Genomic DNA, 17,623 nt, shown 5'->3' on the forward strand with positions numbered 1-17,623 from the left:
AAGACCTAGAGTTTGAAAATCTTTCAGTTTTCTAATCCAAATTAGGGAACCAGTTACACAGGGTAGCATAGGTCAAAGGGTAGGGCTATAAGACCTGGATTGGCTGGCTGAGGATAAATAAGGAAGTGTAGACTTAGTCCAATTGCAGCCCAAACTTGACGTGTAACATTTATACTTAGAAAATGTGTCATTCTCACGTCCTTTATACAGATTTGTCCATCAGTACATTGGATTTTCTTAAACAACTACCATTTGATTCCCCTATTATAATTATTGAAGTGAATTCACTCTGATAAAATACAGTCCTTAGTAGTTCGCTTTAATGCTCTCTAAAATATTCTTGGAAAAATATGAACGTTTTTAAGTTGACAAGTGCTTTTATTATAAAAGTTTAAATAGTTGTGAGGGATATAATGTAAAGTATATTGAATATATAGTCATTTAAAATAAAACTAACTATTATAAATAGATTTAATGGATTGAAATTCCACTTTAATTTGATACCACCATTCATCCATTTAAAAATATACAAGTAGAATCTTCCCTAACAGTTGAAAACTTACATAGTTCTTTTGTTTTCCTTAAATGTTTATTTCCATTTCATTTGCTCTATAGAAATGTTTCCTAATGTAGTATATTTTTTTATACTGGAAATTCTTTCACTGATCATGTTGTTATATTATTCTGAAACAAAACATGTATATAAATTCATATTAAAATTTCTTTAATGTTCTGTAAATATAAGATGCTAACAAAACCCAATTTCTTCTGGATTAAATTATCATAACAATTATTAGATGTATACAACTGATCAATCTACCATACACTTATTAAAATTTTGCTAAATGTGATGTGAAACATAAGGTTTTATTAGAAATGCTTCTCTGAATGAGGTGAACTTTTTAAAAAATTAGGCCATATGTCTGCTGAGGAATATTCATTATTGCTAACGTGAGATGGTATTTCATAAATTTTATTTACTTTTCATTTTTTGGTTGTAAGCACTGAGAAACCTATTCACAAAAATAAGTAGATGGGAAAAGAAAAACTTTTCTTATAGCAGTGTTATAACTTCTTACCAGGTTGTATGCCAAAAATCACATAAAGATCAATCATCAAATAGGATTTTTAATACTTTCTCAGGTGACATTTTAATTAGGTTCCCCTTCAGTTTTGTTGTAACTAAAGCATTGAAAGTCATCTGACTTGCAGAATGATTTGCTGCAAGGTCATTAGTCATTCACTTTCTCAACACTTTTTCTCGAAAGAATTTTGAGTTGTACCTTTGTTTGGTCCCCCAGAAATTTTTATACCCCAAAGCAACTCGAGATGAGTGAGAGGTATGAATTCCATTTGTAAAGTGAGAGAAAAGCATTTACGAAAAAGGGACTCTCTTCAGATTCCTGAGAAAGAGTGCAAATGAAAGCTGAGAATCTGAAAATTTCCTTATCTCTGCCAACTAGAGCCCATGGAAAATCTTTGAGTAACTCTGGGGGTACTATGCATCACAGTCTGAAAATTATTATATGGGATGTACTTTCTATACTTAAATTAAATTTCCCCATGGAGGCAGCATTGTTATACAGGTGACAATGAGATAACAATGCAAAGAAACCAGAAGTCAAGTTCATATCGACTTATATAGCTCTGTCTCCATAAGTCAGAAACAGGAAAAATTAACTTGTTCTTCAGCAATCTAGGTTGACTTCATGAACGAGCTGGCGTTCAAATGAATCCTTGAATTGTGGAAACAGAATGTTAAATCTGGAATGAACTTCAGATATCATCTAGTATGGAGAGGACAATTAAATGTTGACTTTTACATCAATTTGGATTAAATATTTGTGATTGCTTACAATTCTGTGTCAAGAAGTAGTCAGAGGAATCATCTGAGATCTGTAGGAAAGCATGTTGTGATTGATTAGCTATGCCTGTCAGAGGAAGCAGGGAGAGAGGGGCACAGGTGATCTGCTCTTGCCCCCCTAGGTACATAGTCCTTATCACATGAACCACAGGGAAAACTGAGGCTGACTGAGAGCAGGAAGCTTGACCAAAACTCCACAGTGAATTATTGCCAGGATGGGTAGAATTACATATGTTTTATTCAACATTTGGTGGTCATTGTAAATTTGGTAACATTTGCAACTGGAAAATTTGGGGATGTTTTAGAGCTGGAAGGGAGCAAATTCTTAATTGAGCAATACACGCTGTCCTTTCTTTCAGGCTCCTTCACATTTGATCTCTGTGCAATTTGATAAGAGGAGGGAATGGGCCGTCAATTATGAAGAGACTGAAAACCTGAAAATACTGAGTATGGTCTTAGTTCCCTCTCCAAAGGGAGCTCAGGAAAAATGCCAAGCCATACAAGCCACTGATTACTCATCTAGCTATTGTTTCTACCTCACCCTGGCCCAGGAAGACAGATCTACTGAGGAAAGGTAATAGAGGCTGGCAAGGTTCCTACTTTTACATCTATCTGTAATATCCACTCATTCTTAGCATCTTGCACATCCACAGGGCCGTACAGGAGTCTTCTTGCCTTGTATTATTGAATCTTGGGATAGGGGTAGGAACAGACAGAGGTATTAGCAGAGATCCAACAGGATGTAAAACATACATGTTGATGCAGGGGTTAACTTTATGTATAATAAATAGATTTTTACCATGCATACCAAACTGAATATTCCTTCCTCCTTTTTCTCTCAGACCTCTTTCTATGTGTGGCTCATTCTTTTACTCTACAACATAATGTTCAGTTGATTCTGGACTTTTTCTGTGACAAACAATGCTGTAATAAACATCCTCCTTGTGCATTCATCTGGGTGCACTTCTGAGAATTTATCTGAAGGATAAATTCCTAGAAGTAGACTGTCTGTAACATAGGGTCTATGCACTTTCAATTTCCATAGATTCTGCCAAATGGTTTTCTTAAGAGGTTATACCAATTTACACTCTCAGCTATGGTATATGGTAACCCCTGCTTTCCCACAACCTGCCAACACTGGGTATTTACAAACATAAATAAATGGAGGGTTTGAATAATTGTAGTTTTGAATTAGACTTGGGGCGTCCCTCTCATCTGCCCCAACTTGTGTCTCCCCAAAGCAACCTAACTAGGGGATGGCTAATGCCATAGACTCTGAGGCTTACTCAGAGCAGAGGCTGAATGCTCCTGCTTCAGTGGGAACAGGGGGTGTTTCTTCAGTCTGTGCCCTACTTGGCATCTGTCCCTGACAGACCCAGCCAGTGTGGGGAGCCAGCCTCTCTAACCATAAGAAAGAATGGATTGGAAACAAATTGATCTTTTCACAGCTGGCTGTTCCCCTCTTTCCCCTCAACTTGGACTCAGCTCAGAACAAGGTTGCCGATGTTCTGCTGCAACAAAGATGGCATTATTGAGGACTGCCTCTTTGGGGGGAAATGTCCTTCTCCAAGAATCGCCTCTGTAGTTTCAACTATGACAAGCCTGGAGACCGAGCATAGCTGTGCATCTCCAAGGGTCTCCAAAGCGACACCCAACTCTATCCGTCCTGTTGATGACCATGTACTCTTCTATTGGTGTCCACAACTTTATTTAAATGATGTCAGATGACTCAATTCAACAGAATCTAACCCTTTATTCATCCTCCCTGGAGACCTGTGGTCAGTGGGCAGGAGAGTTTGGGATTCAAAAAGAGGAGAACTGTGTGAACACAGGGAAAAAGGATCTAGTGTTTATTTCTAGCAACACCATTACTATTGCTGTCCATCCTATTATTCTGCATTCTTTTGCTTCATAGCATTTTTTTAACTGAAAGAAATGGCTCCACGAAGGCAGAAATATTGTTTAGTTTAAAACTGCATCATCAGTTCCTAGAATACCTCCTTATACATTGGAGGTGCTTGATACCTATTTATTGAATGGATGAATGAATTTCATGAGCACCTGTGTTGGACAATTTAATGTACATGATGATATTTAATATTTTAACTCTGTGGGGTATATATATTATCTTTATTTATAGCTAACGAAATTGGGTCTCAGAGATTAAGTAATGCTTCCAGAACCACACAACTGGTAATTGGTAAAACTGAGATTTCATTTAGACCTGACTGATCCCAAACCTATCTTTTAGAACACTGGGATTCCAGTTTATCTAAGCTTAAGCTCAAAAGTATTAAAATATTTTGCAATCAATGAGGGAAGTTGTCATCAAGGACATTTCCAGGTGAGCATGGTGTGTTCAACAGGAAGAGAAACTCCTCCATACTCCCACCAAAGTGAGCAAGTACCAAAATGTTAAGTGTTAATTAAATCTTATTCATCTGGGGACAAGCAGTAGGGTGAATTTATATGCATGTAGCACCGATTTTGAGCTAAGTAACAAGGGGATTCTGAAAGACCCTTATGCGGACAATGAGTGAATGTAGGCAAGGGCACTAATATTTAACAAAGTTATGCTGTGTGCTAGGAACCATGCTTTAAATTTATGATTCCACTTAATCATTATAATAATTTCCTTTCTTTCCTCTTTTATTGTCTTGCCCTTCCCTTCCCTTCCCCCTTCTCTCCCCTTCCCTTCCTCTTTCCCTCCCCTTTCATTCCCTTTGTCCTTCCCTTCCCCCTTCCCTTCTCTTCCCTTCCTGTCCCCCTTCTCTTCTCTTCTCTTCCCTCTTTCTCCTTCTCACCCTCCCCTCCCCTCCCCTCCCTTTCCCTCTCCTTCCCTCCCTTTCCCTCCCTTTCCCTTCCCTCCCCTCCCCTCCCCTTCCCTTTTCTACCCTTCCCCTCTCTTCTCTTCCCTTCCCTTCCCTTCCTCTCCCTTCCCCCTTCCCTTCCCTTCCCTTCCACCTTCTCCTCTCTCCTCTCCTCTCCTCCCCTCCCCTTCCCTTCTCCCCTTCCCTTCCCTTCTCCCCTCCACTCCCCTCCCCTTCTCCTTTCCCTTCCCTTTTCCCCTCCCTTCTCCCCTCCCCTCCCCTTCTCCTTTTCCTCCCCTTCCCTCCCCTTCTCTTCCCTTCCCTTTCCTCTACCCCCTTCCCCCTTTCCCTTCACTTACCCTTATTTCTTTTCTTTCTTTTTCTTTGTTTCTCCCTCCCTCTCTCCTCTTTTTTCTTTTCTCCTTTCTTTCCTTCCTTTCTCCTTTTTTTCCCTTCTTTCTTTTTAAATTCCCAGACAAGAATTTTGAAGTTCAGCTAAGGTAAGCCACGCATAGTGACGGAACCAGCATTCAGATTTACATCTCTTGCTACCCATCATGTCACATAGTGTTAGGCAGAGACTGGGGTCTCAGTTGCCTAAGTAAAGTCATAGGCATGAAGGGTGCTGCAGGAATGACTGAGTGGCAGGCTCCTGACAGCCTGGTTGATAGACCCCAAGGACTACTTGGGTTTTGGCGCCATGCCTAGTATGACTTTATCCTTTAACTGTTTCTCTTGTCAGTCAGCCCCCTGAGGGAGCCCTGTCTCCTCCTTGAAACTGTACTATAATGAGAGGTCTCCACAAGGGTTCCAGAAAGCCACACAGTGTGCTGTGGTTTTCCCGAGAACTGGCTCCAAGGTAGTGCTCTGAGATCAGTCCTTCCAGCTCCCATCTCAAAGATCTTCAAACTCCAGGCTCTCAAGGGTTTTGAGCTGCCAGTTATGATGAAATATTAGCACAGAAGAAAATAATTTTTTTTTCTATTCTGTGTTTCTTACCAGGACACCATGGTTTCAGAATGATTTATATACTTTGAATATTTTCAAAAAATTTCTTTCAATGTTGTTCCTTCTTTAGGTATTTCTCTTATCACTTGGGCTCAGCTTGATGCTTCTCTGGAATTTTTCTTTTTTTTTTCCTCCCATTTATAAAATACCAAACATGTGTCCCCAGTCTGGATCCATGTAACTGAAAATCATGGGGAAATTCTTTATGTAAAAAGCCCTATAGATTGTTTCGGACAAAATCAACCCCAAAGAGTTTGTCCCCACAATATTTGTGAATAAAATCATCCCTCTGAAATAAAAACACCACCTTAAATAAAGGAGTTCCTCTCAAGCATTTTACTCTATATTTATTGTTTGTTCATTCATGCCATCATTTGAAAAATACTAATTAAGTATTTACCCTGTGTTGGTAATTGTGCTGGGCACAAAGAACATAATAGTAAATCACATAAAATTCCATCCTCAAGGATCCCATGTTCTATCATACTAGAGAACTGAGTACAGCTGCTCCTCGACTTATGGTGGGATTACATCCCAATAAACCCATCATAAGTTAAACCTATCATAAGTCAAAAATGCATTTAATACACCTAACCCACTGAACATCACAGCACAGACAATGTCAGGCACTTTATTACATGTAGTAAAGTTGACATGACTCTTAATCCTACTAACAACCCTAGGAGATAGATTCTGTTATTATTACCATTTCATGATTTAGGAAGCTGAGAATCAGAGAGGTTAGTGGCTGGGGTTGAAATTCAAGTAGTACAGTGTAAGAGCCTTTGCTTCTCCTAGAGGCTCTGTAAAGGTCTGTTGAATAACTGAGTAGACGATAGATTGATTGCAATATAGTTCCTCTGTTGCCTTTTTGAAGTGTTAGTTTAGTAAGCAACCACAGAGAAATTATTATCTACTAGAGATGGGAATAGGAACGGTTTCCTAAATCAGGGTTGGCCAATAGTCTTTAGTTCAAACTAAAAGCCATCACTTCTGCAACATTATGTGTCAAGCATGAGCTATATGACATGAAAGATAAAGTGATGTAGCAAATGTATTCATAATTCAGCAATATGAGATTATGAGAAGGAGCATATTCCTGTGCACTCACTCTGAGGTCAAAGGAGACACCCATTTTCCTCTTGAGGGAAATAGTGAGAGGTGTTTACCTGAAGGCCCCTGGTTTGTGCTCCCCCATAGCTGGGGAGAGGGAGCTGCTGCCGCCCTTTCCAGTAGGAGTTGTATATTCTATAATGTCCTTATCACAATTCCTTTAAGGGCCTCCAGCACTTTGGAAGCATAGAAAAAAGAAACAACATTCCTGCATCGCGGGGCCATTGATGAATAAGAATGTTTATAAGAAGGCAAGCATCTTTGCACTCTATACATTTCCAAATCTTTTAGAAACATATCTAAGAACTTCTTAGTTCCCCTCCATGGTTACTGGATCTACAAACTTGGAATTTCCCCATTGGCCCTCTGATTGTATTTGGAGTCTGTTCTTCATCTTGTGGATCCTCTGGGCTCTGTCTTGAACTGTTGGAACATTTTGCTCCCACAGCTGTTGGAAGTGACCCATTAAGGTAGCCAGAGTCAGTCACTCAGCATCTTAATGGCAAGACCAAAAGGGGTGAAAGAAATAGAAGTCACGGTTAGTAAGCGACTGACCTCATTCTGCAGGAATTCTTTCTGGAAAGAGAGCAGTAGAATGTTGTGACAGGCAGTAAGTCATCTGTAAGAATGTTTACCGTGGAATTCTAGCAAAAGAAATGGCTCAAGAAACTTCCTGGGTAACACAAATAGAGTCTGCTCAGAGGCCCCAAAAGAGAGTGACTGGAAAACTTTAGCCTTGTGAGGGAGGCTGTCTACTCCAGTGTTGGAGTCAGCTGGAGGTGCAGCAGCGCTTGAGCTATCCAAACTGCTAGGATGTTGTTAATAAAAGAACCTTCTCGTTCTCGAGTCAACATGGCTAAAACAGCCAGCCATGAGATGTATGGGAAAGAAGTGCAGAGCAAGTTGTTATTTATTGAATGTGTAGTTAGGAATTACTATTTCCATTTCATGGAGGCTTAAGTAGATTGAGAAATTTGTCTGAGTTCACAAAGTTTGTTAAGTTTCAGACTCTGGGTTTAGACCCATGTGTTTCTGACTCCAAATCCTGCATGGTTGGCTTTTGTGAGAGCAAGGTTACACACTGTACACATTTTTTTTCCTCCATTGCACCATTCACTGTCCTAGGTATATAGAATCCTGGAACACAGGATTGGAAGGACCTTTAGGCATCCCATGGTCTAATCTTCTCATGGTACAGATGAGAATGGGCTCAGAGAAGGGAAGGGCCTTGCTCAGACTCACACAAAGGCTAGGGCCAGAATAGATGGTGCCTGACTCTCAGTTCAGGATGCTTATTCTGACAAGGCCCGTCACTTCACATGGATATTTAATGTATTTTGCTAGTTGGTTAAAAATAATGTAATGTATGGCAGAACCATCTCTCTTTCTTCAAGGTAAGCCATTGCTAAGTCTCGAGTCCTTTTTTGTCCCACAGCTCCTTTTTTCATTGATTATTATCATTTGGTCTATAAAGCCTTTCACCTTCATTTCAGTGAACAATACTGCTGTGGGAGACACTGGAGATGCAAAGATAAATCAGTCCTGGTTCATGAGCTTCAGGAACTTAGGAGCAGTTTGGAGAGTCAGATATGAGAACAGCTTGTTTTCATACATTATTACACAATCATATGTAATATATAGCTGGGGGGATATAGAAGTGAATATGAGAAGACCTACCCCAACCTGGGAAATTAGAGGAGTCTTCCTGTCTTCCTGGAGGATTAATTGATTAAAGTGACTCATTATTTCATTCCTACAACAAATATTTAGCAGACACCTCTTCTGTGTCAGATACTCTTCCAGTTATTAAGGGATGCAGCACTAAGAAAGCAAAAATATTCCTCACCTTCATGGGAGAAATGCAACAAGTGTAACTAAACAAAATATTACTCAAGTTTGCAGCAGTGACAGGCCCATAACAAGGCAAAGGTCTACAGACTAATATTGGGTTGAAGATTTATTTTTACAAGGGTGGCCAGGGAAGGCCTCTTCAAGGGGAAGTCTTTTGATCAAAGAACTAAAGCAAGTGACAGGGAAGAACCTTGCAAATATCTGCTTCCCAGGCAGAGTAAAAACCAGGACCAATGTCTTAAGTCAGGAACCAGCTTGATGTATTTGAAAAAGAGCAAAAGCCAGGCGTCTGTAGTCCCAGCTACTTGGGAGGCTGTGGCAGAATGGTGTGAACCCCGGAGGCAGAGCTTGCAGTGAGCCGAGATAGCGCCACTGCACTCCAGTCCAGCCTGGGTGACAGAGCGAGACTCCATCAAAAAAAGAAAGAAACAAAGAAAGAAAGAAAGAAAAAAAGAAACAAAGAAAGAAAAAGAGCAAAAGCCAGTAGGGATGGAGGAGAGTTATTGAGGTTACTGCAGGAGGAGATGGAGATACAGACATAGACAATGACCAGATTGCAGATGTTGTGCAAGTCACAGGTGAGTAGGTCTTGTCAATAATTTCCCTCCTGGTCAGCATTGCTGGCAATACTATGGCATCATGCATAGAGAAAGAAAAAGCTAATAGCAAATGAATCACTCTGATCATGCATCTTGAGATGTTGCCATGGATTACAATTAATGCGTTCCTATCCACAAGGCCAGATTCCCTCAAAGCATCTTTTTGGGAAATGCAGCGAGCTCTCCTGGCCCCAGCACTCCCACCCACCCCATCACACACCCTACATTCATCATCTCTTTCTCTGTTTCTTTGTCATGTTGCTAACATCCCTTGATGGAGATGGTGCAACTCCAAGTAAAACTGTCTCCATAAATATTTAGACTGAATAGAAAATGTGCCAAAGATGCAAATAATCTGTCCAGAGGGAGAAGAGACCTTTCTCTTTGTTGTTTTCTTCAGGCTTGTAATTTAATTCGTGGATACATGTCTTTGAATAATACATAACTATCAATTTACCTAAAAGAGTCCCATAGAAACCTTAGCCTCTTCATCCTTCTGCCATGCCCCTCATGGCATTTTCTTCTTACGCTGGAGTATACATTTCTCTGCTTTTCTTTTATCCCTTTCTTTCTTCTTTATTCCCATGTTTTTGATCACATACTGTGTGTCAGCCTCTGTTAAGCTCATCTGTGCAGAGTCTATACTCACTGCCTGTCCTCCTCTCATAGTCACTTGTCAATTCATTTTCATTAGCCTTCTCCCTCCACCCTCCTTTCCTGAGTCTGTTCCCACTGAGGTCAACCCAGTGTTCATATTACTGAACCCAGTGGCCATCTTTCTGTTTCTTCTTTTACCAGACCTCTTCACTGAACTAGATAATGTTAATTAGTCCTGGCTGGAGCGCAAGTCTCCTTTGACATCTATTTGCACTGTTCCTCTGCTTGAACCACTCTGTCTATTCCTTCTCTGTCCCTTAAATTTTTGGCTTCTTGTGGGTTGGGTTTTTGGTATTCTTCTTTGTCTAGCACCACCCTTGCTTGCCATCGTGCCCTCATTCAGGCCTGGGCTTTGACTTGAATAGCTTCTGAATCTCTATGCTCTGCCTGTATTGGATAGCTGGCAGGCTATGGGCATGGGCTGCTAGGTCCCAGACAACTCACACTCTCATCTGATAAGTGGGTTTTAATGTGACCCTTGTTGTACCTCCTTATTTCTATTTCAGTCTCACTTACTGCTTCCTCTTTATCTGTTTTCAAGTCTTCCTACTAGATATTTCCTTAAGAAGGCAGAGAAACCGTGCTCTCTTAGTAATTGCACAATTGAAATTATTCCTCTTGAATATTTGATGATGACATATTTTGACTTGATATAGCTTTTTCAATCTTACAGGAATTCTAAAGCTGGAGGAATGTTTAAACTCCTTCCAGCTGCCAGTTTCACGTAAAGAACTCTTTTCTAAACCTGGGGATATGAGGGACTCTTACATTCTCCTTTAATCAAATCAATTTAGGCTGAAAAGAAGGCCAAGTTGACAGCCAGCATTTCACTGCTGGCTGTGTATCCATATACGTATGTATGGATGCTTAGAAAAGTGGAATGCTAGTGATATATATATATATGCATATATATATACATATATCTATATATATAGACATATTTCTGCTTTACTAGGTGAGAAGAGTTGCTTGATTTTAAGGGCTCTCAATCAACAGGCACCAAATGAACTTACAGCTTGCAAAAATATAAAGCGCTCAAGGCCGTACAGACAAAGGTAAGGGGGCACAGACCTTTCAGTTGTCTACAGGTATTATCATCTGAAATTGACATACGAAGAAAGAAGGTCAGAGAAGAAATGTGACATGCCCAAGGCAATCCAACTGAAAAAATAGCCAATGTGGACAATAATCCCAGTTTATAGCTTCTAGTGCAATGACTTTTGCCAGCACCCAGCATATCAGAAGATAAACCCACTGACTTTCTTTAGTGAAGATTGCGAATTGTTTAAATCAGAGCATGTGTGCAAAGTCCAGGGTACTATCTAATTCAACACTTCTGTAATTTGAAAGCTAATAATTATAAGAATTATTGTCCTTGTCCAACTGTTCCTTATACTATTTCATTGTTGGTTAATACATTGAAAATTACGAAACCTTATTTTTGATTGGAAGAGTGGTATAACTTCTCTTAGGAATTATACTACTAGTATCCTAGTGAATTATGAATTCCTACACTTAAGGAAGCACAATTATAATAGCATTGTTTTTCTTTACTTTTGCCAATAAATCAGTAAGTACTGCATGACTACATTCTGCTAAAACTTAATAGTTGATGTGGAAGGGAACTTACTCCTTATTCCATATAGAGACACTGTAGAGTCCCTGGAAATGCTGGCTCTCCTCCCTCTTCTCATCTGCCCCCAGCAGGGGAGAAATGAGTTTATGTATTCAATTGATGAGTTTTGGAGCTGCTGAATATACTTAGCTCAATGTTCTTATTGTGGTCTCCGGACTAGCAGCATTAATAGCGTGAAGCAACGTGTTAGAAATGCAGATTCTCAGGCCCCACTCCAGGCTCCTGAACCAGAAACTCTGGAGATGGGCCCAGCCATCTGTGTGTTAACAAGCCCACCATATGGTCCTGATGACCATTTGAGTTTGAGAACCACTAGTTAGCTGGTTCCTTCATCCTCTGTGGACCTGCCTGCTCACAGAGAGGCTGTGTCTGTTTTCTGCCTTGTGGTTAAAAAAAGGGTCTGCCTGTTGGAGTTGGGGAAGGACATGCAGCTATGCAGTGCTGTCCTTGAATAGGTGTTCCTGTATGCTAATTTCAGGTGCACTGTTGGAAAGCCCATGATTTCAGATACCTAAACCATGTTCTCCAACCAAACCTTATCTAATGAAGATGACATTTTAATTCCCTTGTTTAAATATGACTCTAATTTCAAAGTAGGAAGTTGGTTCTGACTTTGTGGGTGAGAAGAGGATATGGTGTCTAAACATGTGCCCCTTAAAACCACCATAATAGCCAATTACTTATTCTTTATGGCCATATGTCAGGTATATTTTAAAGTTGGAAGGAGCTTTGGAGTGGTCTAGCTGACTTTATAGCTGCTGGCAACTGAAGTCCAGAAATGGGAAGGCATTTTCTCAAAGTCACTCAGAAAGTAACTGGAGATAGCAGGCTCCCAGTCCTGGGCTCAGACCCACACATCCAGCCAACATAACCATGGTGCACTTTAACCAATTCCAAGTTGAAACAGAGGAAATGCATATTTGGAGCAATTTATCTCATCACATTAAAGATTTCCTAATTTACATTTCTGCCCGGTAATCATGGATGCCTCTGTATCTACCCCATGGTCCCCTGGTGAATATGGCCTCTCTCAATGTCAGGTCCTTGTATTCCTGCCCTAGCTTCTTGCATCCACCTTCCTTGACAGGAACTGAAAATGAATTGCAGCTGTTCATCATCTCTATGGAGGGGACCAATTTCTTACTCCTAAACTGAGCTCATCCCAGGGAAAACACATAGGGCAATGAGGAATTCCTCTTAACTATGACACTAAACTACCCCTTGTTTTTTTTTAGTCGTTTATATTTTCAGTCTACAGTCTAATTATTTCTCCAAATTGGGTTACTTGATCACCTGCCAAAGACAGTTTCTATTCATTAACAAATCTTGGCCTTCAGAATTATATTTTCACCAATCTAATTTTCATTGGCATTATGCTTTTCTGTTTTCTGACTCCTCTTATCGGTTGTCTACTTGTATGCATTTTTCATGTTCAAAAGTTTCATAGCAGCTCCTCCTCACTTTGATGCTAGGGACCAACCAATTTATCTCTACTTTTATGGCTTGATATTGCCAGCTAATCTTTATTGTGTAATTACTATAGCCAGAAAAAATGTTAAGTGTTTTATATGTTAGCTTAACTGATTCTCACTGCAATCTATGAAGCAGGTACTGTTATAATTTCTATTTTTTAGATGAACAACTGAGACACAGTGAAGCTATGTAACCTTTCTAAGATTACCCAACTAGTAAGTGGTGGAGTCAACATCTGAGCTTTGGTTATCTGAGCCCATAAATTGCCCGTTAGCCCTGCGTTATACTATGATCATGCACAGGGGTCTGGAAAATGCCTTGATGTTATACTTTCCTTCTTCTTTTTTTTTTTTTTTTTTTTTTTTTTTTTTGACAGAGTCTCGCACTGTCACCTGGGCTGGAGTGCAGTGACGCGATCTTGGCTCACTATAACCTCCGCCTCCTGGGTTCACGTGATTTTCCTGCCTCAGCCTCCCAAGTAGCTGGGATTACAGGCACCTGCCACCAAACCTGGCTGATTTTTTTTTTATTTTTAGTAGAGACAGGGTTTCACTATGTTGGCCAGACTGGTCTCGAACTCCTGACCTCGTGATCCGCCCACCTCAGCCTCCCAAAGTGCTGGGATTACAGGCATGAGCCACCGTGCCCGGTCTATACTTTCCCTCTTGAAACACCATTCCTTTCTTTGTTCAGGATCTACTGTGGCAAGCATTTGAGCTCAGGTCATGGGTCTCCAAAGCCATTTTACACAATGATACGTGTGATGGTTTTCTGGGATGGCCCAGCTAGCAGGTGGGGGAGGGATCACTGAGGTAGGGGACAGTGTAATTGACAGGCTTCATAGAAGCTAAGCAAGGGACACATTTAGTTCAAGTTCAGTGGCAAGGGGAAAAAAACTAATGATTGGGAGATGCTTAGGTGTTTTCTAGTAGTGTACAACAACTAAAACTTATCCCCATAGACAACTCTTGGGTCTGAAGATACCCAGCAATACAGAGTATGTGGTAGACCCTGGAGATCCTGCTGCTCACCCTGTGTTCCAGATTGGCCCCAGGTCATAGGAAGGTCCCTGGAAGTCCACAGAAAGGATTCTCAAGTTCTGGTAGGGGGAAATTTCAAATGTATGCAACCCATAGAAAATGGATTCTTTGGGGACACCTACAGAAATCAAAGATCTAGGCAGAATTTGTTCCTAGGATCTAAGAATTGTAGGGTTAATAAAACTAGCTGTTTATAGAAAATTTATGTAACTTGTTTTACTGATCCAGGCAGAATGGATCCAGAGTTTGTGTTCTGGCATACAGACTAAACTTTAGGAGGGATATAATGACTGAGTTGAATCTTGAAATGTTAGTAGGAGGTAGACAATGCAGGAAGATGGTAAAGGTTGATGTTCCAAAAATGAACAACTTATTTCCTGGTATCAGTTAGGATGTGTTTGGTTGCCACTGACAGAAAAATCTGACTAGCAATGGGTAAAACAACTCTGAGTTTATTTTTTCACTTATTAAGAAATCTGGCCCTAACAATATCAACTAATATCAAAGTTGGTATCTGTATTTGATTTGATTTTTCATGAGCATCTCATTTGGCAGTCACAGTTTTGGACATTTCACTCAAATCAGGAGGAAGGGGGATGAGTGGCATTACCTACACGCAATCCTCTTTATCAGAAAAGGAAAAGTTTTTTTCAAAATACCCAGAAAATTTCCACTTGTTCAGGCTCAAATAATGTAGCCATTTCTGGTTGCTTTTCCAGATTCTAAGGACTGTGTGTTAAGTTAGGTTAGCCAACTGACAGTCTTCCATCACCCCTGCCATCCCGGAAGATTTATGAATTCAGAGTTGGTGTTTGCTCTTTGTTTATTTCTTCTTAGTAGAGAGCACAGTGTCATGCCCAAAGAAGGGATAACACAAAACATTCATTGCAAGAATAAATAAATTCAGTTAATCTCAAAAGGCATTTATTATGCAGTGTGACCTGCATGCCAGGAACTGTATAGGTACAGATCAAGGAACATAGAGCCCAGGGACTGGTGAACAGATACTCAACATATACATGTTCCAATATGCCATGGTACATGTTAGGACATAGAAACACATAGGGGCTTTTCAAGGGAACCCAGAGTGGGAACACACGGCCCATGTTAGAGGGCTGAAGAAGGAGGACAAAAAGGGAGTCAGTCAGGATAGTTTCAATTATGCTTAGGTAACAAATGATCCCTAAACCTTAATGTGCAGCTACAACTTTCAACTCCCTACTGTGCTATGTGGCCATGTTGCTTAGCTGTGGCTCTGTTCCACTTCAGTCTCTGCCTAGGGCCCAAGCTGACTGAGCAGCCTCTATCTGGAACTCTGTCAGATGGACCAGAGAATATAGCAACCACACATTGGCTCTTAGAAGCATCTTCCTAGAAGTGACACACATCACTTCTGCTTATGCTTCCTTGGCCAAAACAAGTCTTGTGAATCTACCAGAATTGAACAGGATGAAGGTATATAATCCTCCATGTGAGGGGCACAGGATAGAGGCACAGGATAGGTGAGCAGTAATATCATCTCCTACAAACAGCAAGGACAGGGCCTAACTGGCGGTGCTCTCTGCTCCTTCTGGTTTACCTCCCCGTCTTTCTCCTTTCACTAGTGACCAGCTGTCAACCTCACTTAGTGTGGGAGAGCTGTGAGCTGGGCTGAGTCGCCGGGGATGAGTTGGAGGAGCCAGGAGACTGACTTCATCTCCACCTGGTCCAGGAAGGGAGACTGAGGGAAGGGGCCTGGATCCAGAGCTGGAAAGATCTTGGCAGGATGTGGCTTTTTAGGAGGTAGAAAGATGGATTTCACCATCTGTCTCTTTCCTAATGTTTGGAGGGGTGTTCTCCCGGGATATAGAGGCTGGTGGCCCAGATTTCTGAGACATCTTTGTCAGCCAGCACTGGCTCAGCACATATCAATTGTGAAGATCAACTCCTGGCAAGTGTGGAGTTTGGCATCTACAGGGGCCAGTAGGGGAGTGAACCAGGGATAGGGACAATGACCAGAATCCTTACTTGTTGTCAGTGGAAATAAACACGCATAAATTTGTCTTTAGCACACGAAGACCCAGGATAAGACCCGTTCGACCTGCCTATATGGAGCCTTGGGTGAGAGATCATCTTAGATTTTTCTGCCACCTTAAGGTATTTCAAACTCCCTTATCTTAACCCTGCCTGCCAGCTGTGTTTGTGGACCCTGCATTCAAATCCTCCTTTAAAATGCTATTTGGAAAATAAGCTTTAAGATCAACTGTTTTTAAGATACAAACTCAGGCTTCTGTCTGTAGGCACCAAAAATCATGCCCTGGACTTCTAGCATCAAGGTAGTTAGAATACCTGTTAAGAATACATGGAATTGGCCAGGCACAGTGGCTCATGCCTGTAATCCCACCACTTTGGGAGGCCAAGGCGGGCAGATCACAAGGTCAGGAGTTTGAGACCAGCCTGGCCAGTATGGTGAAACCCCGTCTCTACTAAATACACAAAAATTAGCCGGGTGTGATGTTGGGCACCTGTAGTCCCAGCTACTTGGGAGGCTGAGGCAGGAGAATTGCTTCAACCCGGGAAGCAGAGGTTGCAATGAGCTGAGATTGCGCCACTGTGCTCCAGCCTAGAGGACAGGGTGAGATTCCTTCTCAAAAAAAAAAAAAAAAAAAAAACATGAAATTTAGTTTTATTTCTGGCTCTGAAGCTTTCTTGGACCATCAGGCACTCATTAACTTCTCTGAGTCTCATTTTTCCCATCTGTTGAATGGAGATGCTGATCATAGCTCTCCTGCTTACCTTAAAGGACTACTGGGGGAATTCAGTGAGAGCCTTTACTTACTGAACATCTACTGTAAAGTAGACATTGGCTTTAAGACAAGTGGGAACACATTGTCATTTATAAGATTTATGTAAAGTAAATAAAAGAAATTTTTATTGTTGTAGTTATTCTATTGGAGAAAATTAAAGTTGGGTATACAATCACGGACTGTACCTGATTAATTCTTGCATCTGATTCTTATGCCTCTGTCTTCAGAATATTTGTAATAATCTACAATTGTCCATTTTGGACTGTGAATCTTTTGAAGTTGAAATTACCTTTTCTTAGGTTGGCAGTGTTTCTCACCTGGATTATGGCAGTATCCTCTTATCTTGCCTCTCTGCCCTCAGTCTCAGCTGCTCCAATCCATTCTATGCATAGCAGACAACTATAAAGATATTTCACTTCTGCTGAAAATCCTTCCATTGCTTTATGCTCTTCTGAGACATCTACTTTTTTAGACTCTCTTTAGAGAATCTTTAAATCCTAGCCTCTGATAGTTTCTCCAGGCATATCTCTCAACACATCTCTTCCTACCCCACTAATACAGTCATGTGCATTCCCACAGAGAAGCCCAAAATCAATATTGGAGTCTCTCTGAAATACCTGAATCCTTAATGAGGTCCCAGCACCTTGGACCTTTGCATAGTTTTGGCTAGAACATCTTTGTTCCTGTGACTTCCCACTTAGGTTCAACTCCAAAATATCTCTCAGATTTCAACTTGAAAGTCCCTTCACTTCCTCTGGGGAATCTTGCATGATATTCCTTTTTTTT

The 17,623-nt window shown here is 40.8% G+C and overlaps 1 long non-coding RNA gene across 1 annotated transcript in view; it reads left to right on the forward strand.

Annotated features, from left to right (window-relative positions):
- The first annotated feature begins 2,387 nt into the window (after positions 1 to 2,387).
- The window catches only part of DELEC1 (deleted in esophageal cancer 1), a 260,827-nt gene continuing 245,591 nt past the window's right edge, over positions 2,388 to 17,623 (forward strand). The window contains exon 1 of the long non-coding RNA NR_163556.2: positions 2,388 to 2,438. This is a non-coding gene — a long non-coding RNA (deleted in esophageal cancer 1). The remainder of the gene's footprint in view (positions 2,439 to 17,623) is intronic.

Source organism: Homo sapiens, chromosome 9 (genome assembly GCF_000001405.40).
Source record: "Homo sapiens chromosome 9, GRCh38.p14 Primary Assembly".
In the NCBI taxonomy this organism is placed as follows: domain Eukaryota; kingdom Metazoa; phylum Chordata; class Mammalia; order Primates; family Hominidae; genus Homo; species Homo sapiens.